Source organism: Homo sapiens, chromosome 2, assembly GCF_000001405.40.
Source record: "Homo sapiens chromosome 2, GRCh38.p14 Primary Assembly".
Taxonomy (NCBI): domain Eukaryota; kingdom Metazoa; phylum Chordata; class Mammalia; order Primates; family Hominidae; genus Homo; species Homo sapiens.
In genome coordinates this window covers 169,789,282-169,798,537 of record NC_000002.12, presented here as the reverse complement: position 1 = coordinate 169,798,537, position 9,256 = coordinate 169,789,282, and the positions used below count along the sequence as shown (strand labels likewise).

Sequence of the window (9,256 nt, the reverse complement as noted above, 5' to 3'; positions counted from 1 at the left end):
TAGTTCTCAAAAAAAAAAAAAGGACAAGTGAAATTTAAAAAAAAAATCAAAGATCCATGAAATCTTAGAGTTTTGAAAACAATACAGTACAGCGTGTAAAAACTGGGTGTCTGGAATCAGACTGCCTGCTTCAAATAATGGTCCTCCTGCTGTGAAACTGTGATCTTGGACAAGTTGTTCAACTTCTCTGTTCCTCAGGTATAAATAGGGCCGGTAATAAATACTACCTAGTTCATACAATTGCTGTGAGTATTCAACTTGATGCAATATTGTCAACCTAAAGGGAAAAACTGAGGCAAAATTAATATAAGTAGACAGTTTATTTGAGCCAAGTTTGAGGACTGCCACATGAGAGCATGGATTCAAATTGCCCTGAATATATGCTCTGATTAGCAGCACTTACAAGTAGCTTTTAAAGAAAAAAGAAGAGGCAGTTCCTAAATTGTTTACCGATAACTTACATTACAATAACAAGCTATTGATTGGCTATACATTCTTCTTTGTATCACAAATTCGAAGAACATGAAAATGGATGAAGCAGGTAGTAAGGGACAAAGTGACTTGAAACAATTGCCCCCCAAGCATGGCGACTGATATAGTTTGGTTCTGTGTCCCCACACAAATCTCATCTCGAATTGTAATCCCCATAATCCCCAAGTGTGGAGGGGAGGAACCACACACAGGGTGGGAGGTGACTGGATCATGGGGATGGTTTCCCCCATGCTGTTCTCCTGGTGGTTTTATAGGGCAGTTTTCCCTGCTCTTGCTCGCTCCCTCTCACCTGCCACTGTGTAAGACATGCCTCTTCCCCTTCCACCATGATTGTAAATTTCCTGAGGTCTCCCCAGACATGCGGAACTATGAGTCAATTAAACCTCTTTTCTTTATGAATTACCGAGTCTTGGGTATGTCTTTATTGCAGTATGAGAACTAACTAATACAGGGGTGTAGGGACATGACTGAAGTCCCAAACTCATATCTCTCTGTGCCTGATAAATTCCGCATACCTCACATAGTTCAAACTGCTCTGGGCTCTTTTTTCTTTTCTTAAGGCCAATGAGAAAAAACATATTTAACAGGGTTGTGCTCAGGTAGTTTAAATTCAAATTAATTAGATTATCTTTTATCCACTCAAAGAATATTTATCTACTCTCTATTTTATGCCAGACACAATTGAAACCTTAATTCTTGTTTTGATCAAGTCAGTGAGAATATATGTATTTAACAGAACAAATAATATCAGTGTCAGGGTACTCTCATTCATCCATTCAGCTAACTGTTTATTACATGCCTGTTAATGTCCTGGTATGGAGGCTTAACACTGGGAATAGAAAGAAGAGTCAGAATCTGCCTAGAGACAGAGCCACCTAAACAAATATAACTGCTTCTTCATGTCCCACAACATCTGGGCAGAACTGCAGTACAGCCTATTATCAGAAGTCACACCGGCAAAAAAAACATTTATTTCATGTTCTCATCAGGTCCCTGGTCCTTTGCTCTCCCTTTCTTGTCTTTTCTTTTTTATCTTTTTCTTTCTTCTTCTTTTTTTTTAGACAGTCTCCCTCTGTCGCCCAGGCTGGAGCGCAGTGGCACCACCTCGGCTCACTGCAACCTCTGCCTCCCAGGTTCAAGTGATTCTCCTGCCTCAGCCTCCTGAGTAGCTGGGATTACAGGCGCCCGCCACCATGCCTGGCTAATTTTTTTATTTTTAGTAGAGTCAGCGCTTCGCCATGTTGGCCAGGTTGGTCTCGAACTCCTGGCCTCAGGTGATCCACCCGCCTCAGCCTCCTAAAGTGCTGGGATTACAGGCATGAGCCACCATGTCCAACCCTTTTCTTATCTTTTCTTTTTCTCCCTCGTTCCCTTCCAGAAGCAGAGTTCCATGCAGACACACCCTCTGAGGAAAATGAATTCCTGGCGGCAGACCAGGAAGCTTCATGTTTCATTTACAGTACCTAGGAGAGGACTCTCTCTCATACTGGTATCCATCTCTCATAGCATAACTTTGTAAGTCAGTACACTAAAAGACCATCTTTCTGGGTATACACTTAGTACAATTACTTTGAGAACAAATTGATAATATCTATTAAAGTTTAAGATGTGCATAGCTGATGGTGCAGAAAGTCCACTCTAAAGAATATACTCCCAGCCTGGCCAACATGGTGAAACCCTGTTTCTACTAAAAATACAAAAATTAGCCAGGCATGGTGGTGCATGCCTGTAATCCCAGCTACTAGGGAGGCTGAAGCAGGAGAATTGCTTGAACCTGGGAGGTGGAGGTTGCAGAGAGTCAAGATCGCGCCATTGCACTCCAGCCTGGGCGACAAGAGTAAGACTCTGTCTCATTAAAAAAAAAAAGATTATACTCTAGAGCAATGTTCACATCTGTACACAAGAAAACATGTTCAAGCATATTCGGGCGGGGTGCAGTGGCTCATGCCTGTAATCCCAGCACTTTGGGAGGCTGAGGAGAGTAGATCACAAGGTCAAGAGTTTGAGACCAGCCTGGCCAACATGGTGAAACCCCGTCTCTACTAAAAATACGAAAATTAGCCAGGCATGGTGGCACGTGCCTGTAATCCCAGCTACTTGGGAGGCTGAGGCAGGAGACTTGCTTGAACCTGGGAGGCGGAGATTGCAGTGAGCCAAGATCATGCCACTGCACTCCAGCCTGGATGACAGAGCAAGACTCCGTCGCTAAAAAAAAAAAAAAAAAAAAAAGAATATTCATAGCAATATGGTTTGTAAATTTAGGGAACTGGAAATCAACTAAATGTTCACCACAAAAGAATGGGTAACTAAATTAAATTGTGATATAATTAAATAATGAAATTCTATACAGTGAGAAAAATAAACTAGATCTACATGAATTGACATTGATAAATTTCACAAACATAATGCTGAGTTTAAAAAGAGATTTCAGAAGAAATATAAGTAGCAACCCCCAGTCACTGTGACAATGAAAAATCCCACCTACATTTCGAAACAGCTTCTTAATTATGAGGCTGGTTACTGCTCCCAGCCTCATATTAAGAACATTTAGTCTAGGGTAATAGCATTGCTCTATTTTGAAGATTTGGTTTTGTTACTGAATTGGGCTTGTTCTGCCTGTTGCACAATATGCCCAATCACTGAGACATCAAATTTTGCTGCAGAGAAAGGGTTTATTCATGAAGCAGCCAAGTGAGGAGACAGGAGAACAGATCTCAAATCCAGCTCCCAAAGATGGGGTTTTAGGGTATTTACGGGATAAAGGAGCAAGGTGGTCTGAGGCATGGGGAAAGGTAATTGGGGTAAGAAACAGTGAGGCAACTGGTGCTGTGCACAAGCATAGTCAAGCTTCATAGCTCTTCATAGGACACATGTCCACAAAATTGCAGCTTTAGCATGATCTGAGGGTGGAGCTCTTGGTCCTGTGATGCCAAAAGGTCACCCATTGGACACTCATGCAGGCCCAGTTGAAGAGTTGTTGGTCTCAGCTGGCTTAAGCTGGACAAGAGCTAACTCTAAGTTCCTGAAAAACAAGCAACCATTACCATGGTGACCTATATCTCAGATATGTAATCTGTAAGGAAGCTAATGGAATTTTATGTATATATTGCTTAGCTACATGACTTTTAGCTATTAAATATGTAGCTTTTAAAATTAACTAAAAACAAATGAGACAAGTTAAGTTTGGTGGGCCAAATCAGGTTAGCCCTCAGTTTCAGGTTGAAATGCTTATTAGACATCAAGGTAAAGATGTCAAGTAGGCAGTTGGTATGAGTTTGAAGAAGTCAGGGTTAAAGATATAAATTTTGGAACTATTAGTATATAGCAGACATTTTAAGTCATGTCATTATATGAGCTCTCCTAAAAAGAGTATAGACAACAAAGATGGGAGGATCCCAGACTGACCCCTCTAGCATTCGAATTTTTTGGATAATGAATAAAAGAAGAGAAGCCTGTACAGCAGCTAGAATAAGCAGACCCTGAGAGGTGCTATGAAAATATGGCACCATAGAAGCTAAAGAGTGGAATGTTTCAAGGAAGGAGGGACCAACTGAGTACATATTGCTGAGAAGATGCTATGGATTGTGTATGGGTCATGAGGATGGATCCCTTATGAGTGGCTTGGTGCTGTTCTTGTAGTAGCCAGTAACTTTCCCTTCTGATTGGCTCTCAGAGGAATGGGTTAGTTCCCATGAGAATGGGTTGTTATGAAACAATGGGTTGTTATACCAGGGTGCCCCTCAGATTTGGTCTTTCTTCACACATGCCTGCTTCTCTTTGACCTTTTCCACCATGTTTGACTCAGCAGAAAAGCCCTTACTGGGAGCCAAGAAGATGCTGGTGGGTGTCATGCTTCTTGTACAGCCTGCGAAATTGTGAGCCAAATAAACCTCTTTTAAAAAAAATTATCCAGCCTCGGGTATTCATTTATAGCAACACAAAACAGACTAAGACAGAAGATTTGCAAGCTGACCTAAACCAATTTTGTCATTGTGGCAGATACTGTCACTTATCTCTTGGCTCTCTCCTTCCTATATAATAATAAAATCACCTGTGGCTTTCAACAAAATGTATGGCCAATCAGAAATAAAAACTACATTTTTCCAGCCTTCCTTGAAGCTTAGTAAGACAATGTCTGGCCTATGAGACATGAGTGGAAGTGATGTGTGCAACTTCCAGGTAATTCTTAAATGCAATGAATTTATTCTCTTACCTCACTTTCTCTTTTCTTCAACTAGCTAGATGTGGATGATGAGCAAAACTGGACCAAGCAAATGAAGGAAACACCATAGGTGTGGCAAAGCAGCAAGATAGAAGGAAGCCAAGTCCCAACATCCTGTAGTTCCATACCAACTCTGATGGCTTCGTAGAATGGACTTATCATTCTAACCTGGACTTTAAATGCGAGGGGGAAAAAAATCCATGAAAAATTATTCAAGGCAGATGATTATAATATTTTAGACTTTTGGTTAGGGCAATTGAGAGAATTCATCACTAAGGGGCAGAAAACTCAACTAAATCAAAACTCCAGGCCAAGAGTACCACTCTGAAGGCTGCTAGGCTTGCTAAGTTTTTCTATTTCTGTGTGTGTGTGTGTGTGTGTGTGTGCGCGCGCACGCGCGCGCGCAAGATGAATATCAGATTGCCTAAAAGCCAGAAATCTAGGGTCTCCCTGAATTTTGGGAATAGATTGTAGGACTACTTTTGTGTTTTCTTGCTAATAGATGTTTGAAGGTGAATCTTGTCTACAAAAACTTCCTTCATTGTAATAAGTCATATGAAAGTGAGGTTATTAAGGGGAGACCTAGAGCCCACCCCTATGTCTAACAATTGGTGACCTCCACTATCCTCTAAATTATCTAATAATTGTGAACAGCCAAATTTACTTGGGTCAATTTGCTATATTTGGCAAGTGGACGAGATCAGCATGCATAAAATGATAAGTAGATCTTCTATAGAAGACAGTACATGGAAGTTGATAAAACAGCACAGATTCTTTACCAAGACTTCATGTAAAATAAAATAACTGTGACAGATAAAGAGAAAAGAAGGGCCTTTGGGGGCTAAACATTTTTTTAATTGAATTATATCACACAAACTATAAGGTGCATGAATTTTAAGTGCTCAATGAAGTTTCACAAGTGAACACCACCTTGTAATTACCATCCAGATTGAGATATAGAACATTTCAGCACTCCAGAAAGTTCCTTTGGGCTCCTCTCTCAGTCAATACCCTCCTTAAAAGTAACTACCATTGATTAGCTTTGCCTGTTCTAGGTCATGTAGTATGTATATATCTGGGTCTCAGTTTGGACAGCTATAACAAAATATCATAGACTGGGTGTCTTAAACAACAGAAATTTATTGCTCGCAGTTTTGAAGGCTGAGAAGTCCAAGATCAAGATGCTGTTAGATCTGGTGTCTCATGATGACCTGCTTCCTGGTTTGCAGATGGCCATCTTCTTCATGTATCCTTACATGGTGAAAAGCAGAAAGGAAGTAAACTCTCCAGTCTCTTCTTACAAGGCACTAAATCCCATTCATGAGGTAGAATTCTACCATCATGATCTTATTACCTCCCAAAGGCCCCACTTCCTAATACCATCCCACTGGAGGTTAGGATGTCAATGTATGAATTTTGGGGAACTACAAACAGTCCACAACATGTGGTATACGCACATACCACAACTGATTTATCCATTCTTCCATTTCTTTTCCTTTTTTTGAGACAGAGGCTCACTCTGTTGCACAGGCTAGAGTGCAGTGGCGCAATCTCGGCTCACCGCAACCTCTACCCCCCTGGGTTCAAGTGATTCTCGTGCCTCAATATCCCAAGTAGCTGGGATTATAGGTGCCTGCCACCATGCATGGCTAATTTTTGTACTGTTTTAAGTAGAGACAGGGTTTTGCCATGTTGGCCAGGCTTGTTTCAAACTTCTGACCTCAAGGGATCCATCCACCTTGGCCTCCCAAAGTGCTGGGATTACAGGAGTGAGCCACGACGTCTGGCCCATTCTTCTGTTTCTGACCATTTTGTTGTTTCTAGTTTTTTGCTGTTATGAATAAAGCTATTCTGAACGTTCTTCTCCATGTCTTCTGCACTCATTTCTGTTAGGTGTATGCCTAAGAATGAAATTATGGGTCACAGGGCAGGCGTGTGTTTAGCTCTAATATATATTGCTAAACAGCTTTCCAAAGTGGTCATATCATTTTTCACTCACACCAGCAATGTAGTTGCTAAACATTCTGGACAATGCACTGTCATGTTTTAAAGCCAGATATTATTTTTTTATTTTAATTTTTATTTTTATATATTTAGGGAGTACCAGTGCAACATGTACATATTACGTAGCGGTGAAGCCTGGGCTTTTAGTGCATCCATCACCTAAATAGTGAACATTGTACCCAATAGGTAATTTTTCAGTCCTCACCCCTGCTCTCACCCTCCCACCTTTTGTAATCTCCAGTGTCCATTATTCCACTCTAAGCCACATATAATATTAATATTAAAAGCTCATGCTTACAATAAGTAAACTACGTAGCGAAGAGACAAAATAAGTACATGCTTACAATAAGTACATGCTTACAATAAGTAAACTACGTAGTGAAGACACAAAATAAAGTTGGTGAATAAAAATGCACACTTGAAAAGTTTTAGAAAGGCCGGGCGCGGTGGCTCACGCCTGTAATCCCAGCACTTTGGGAGGCCGAGGCGGGCGGATCACGAGGTCAGGAGATTCAGATCATCCTGGCTAACACGGTGAAACCCAGTCTCTACTAAAAATACAAAAAAACTAGCCAGGCATGGTAGTGGGCGCCTGTAGTCCCAGCTACTCGGGAGGCTGAGGCAGGAGAATGGCGTGAACCTGGGAGGCGGAGCTTGCAGTGACCCGAGATCGCGCCACTGCACTCCAGCCTGGGCGAGAGCGAGACTCCGTCTAAAAAAAAAAAAAAAGAAAAGAAAAGAAAGAAAAGTTTTAGAAAGAATCGAACAATTACTCCTGTTTCTAGTGTAGGAGGAAAGAGAGACACATTAAAAATTATTCTTTCAGATGAAGGCTGCTGACAGTTGAAATAGTTAATTAACACTGGCTTCTTTCTCCCTAATCCGAAGCAGTCTTTTCTTTCATTGGCTTCTGAAAAGCTATTTAGTCTCCTGCCTACATGTAGAGGTAACACAGGAAGGCTTTGGCCAGTGCTGAGATGGCTGGGATCACTCAACTAGTCCACTAACTGGAATTAAAGTCAACAGTAGTAATAAGGGTTTCCAGTGGTGCATGCCAGTAGTCCCAACCACTCAGGGGGATCCCTTGAGCTCAGGAGTTGGAAACCAGCCTGGACAACATAGAGCTAAACCATCTCTTGAAGGAAAAAAAAAAAAAAAAAAAGGCTGGGCGCAGTAGCTCACGCTTGTAATCCTAGCACTTTGGGAGGCCAAGGTGGGCGGATCACGAGGTCAGGAGTTCGAGACCAGCCTGACCAACATGGTGAAACCCAGTCTCTACTAAAAAATACAAAAATTAGCCAGGCATGGTGGTGCGCACCTGTAATCCCAGCTACTCGAGAGGCTGAGGCAGGGGAATCGCTTGAACCTGGGAGGCGGAGGTCGCGGTGAGCTGAGATCGTGCCATTGCACTCCCGCCTGGGCAACAGAGTGAGACTCCGTCTCAAAAAAAAAAAAAAAATTCTGAAGGCTTAGTTAACTTTATCTGTCATCCAGATGAAACCCCAATGATTTATGATTTGGAGAATTCTCTGGCATCTGTAGAGTGCCCGACATCCTCAAAGTTTTCAGTAGCATCTCTCCAGCTTATTCCCTTAAGACTTCTTTCCCACCAGGATGCTCTGCCAGGAATTTGGTCAAATCGTACACCCAGGTGCTTTTGCTATGATTGTGCTTTGAATCTCCTCCAGGGCGCAGCACTTCACGGCCTTGTCCGACTGCTGGGCCATCTCGGAGGGCTGCGAGCCAGTCCCAGCTCACACAGCGGTGCCCTGCCAGCAGCGTGCGCCTCTCATCAAGCTCCGTCGGGGACATTCCCCGCCCGCACCAGGGACCCCTGCCAGAGGCGGGGCAGCCGGTCTGTCATTCTCTTAAATTTTGGCCACATGGTGGTGTGGTGGTATCTCATTGCGCCTTTAATTTGCATTTCCTTGATTTACAATGTTAAGCACCTTTTCAGATGCACATTTGCCATTTGATGTCCTCCTTTGTTCAGGGCCTTGCCCATTTAAAGATTGTGAGAGTTGGCCAGAAGCGGTGGCTCACGACTGTAATCCCAGCACTTTGGGAGGCCAGGAGTTTGAGACCAGCCCGGGCAACATAGTGAGACCCAGACCTTGAATCTACAAAAAATAATTTAAAAATTAGCCAGATGTGTCTCTTAAAAAAAAAAAGTGTGTGTTTTTAATTAATTTTTACCAATTTTATCAATTAGGATTTTTATAAATTAGGATGCTTCCAATTTTATCAATTAGGATTACCAATTTTATCAATTCTTCCAATTTTATCAATTAGGATTCTTTATATGAATCTGGATATGAAGGTTACATCAGATGTAGGAATTGTGGATTTCTTCCCCCCAGTCTACGGCTTTCTTTTTCACTCTCCTATTGGTATCTTTGGATAATTAGTGCTTTTTATGTTGCATTTAAAAAATCATTGCCTACTCCAAATGTTCAGAGATATTCTCCCCTAATTTCTTTTAGAATCTGTATTGTTTTATTTTCACATTTAGTTGTATGATTCATGTTAAATTAATTT

At 41.7% G+C, this 9,256-nt stretch overlaps 1 long non-coding RNA gene and 1 pseudogene across 1 annotated transcript, besides 1 other annotated feature; both read right to left on the bottom strand.

Moving 5' to 3' along the window:
• Positions 3,145-4,887, bottom strand: LOC124907905 (uncharacterized). Its single transcript, XR_007087290.1, has 2 exons — positions 4,706-4,887; positions 3,145-3,514 (listed from the first exon to the last, which is right to left on the bottom strand). It is a non-coding gene; the product is annotated as an uncharacterized LOC124907905 (long non-coding RNA).
• CYB5AP2 (cytochrome b5 type A pseudogene 2) lies at positions 8,178-8,532 on the bottom strand (annotated as a pseudogene).
• Positions 8,335-9,014: an enhancer, noted in NCBI's record as "OCT4-NANOG hESC enhancer chr2:170646034-170646713 (GRCh37/hg19 assembly coordinates)". NCBI's record gives its function as "activates a minimal SCP1, AML or CMV promoter by ChIP-STARR-seq in naive and primed H9 embryonic stem cells {active_cell/tissue: H9 hESC(naive and primed)}" and the evidence as "EXISTENCE:reporter gene assay evidence [ECO:0000049][PMID:30033119]".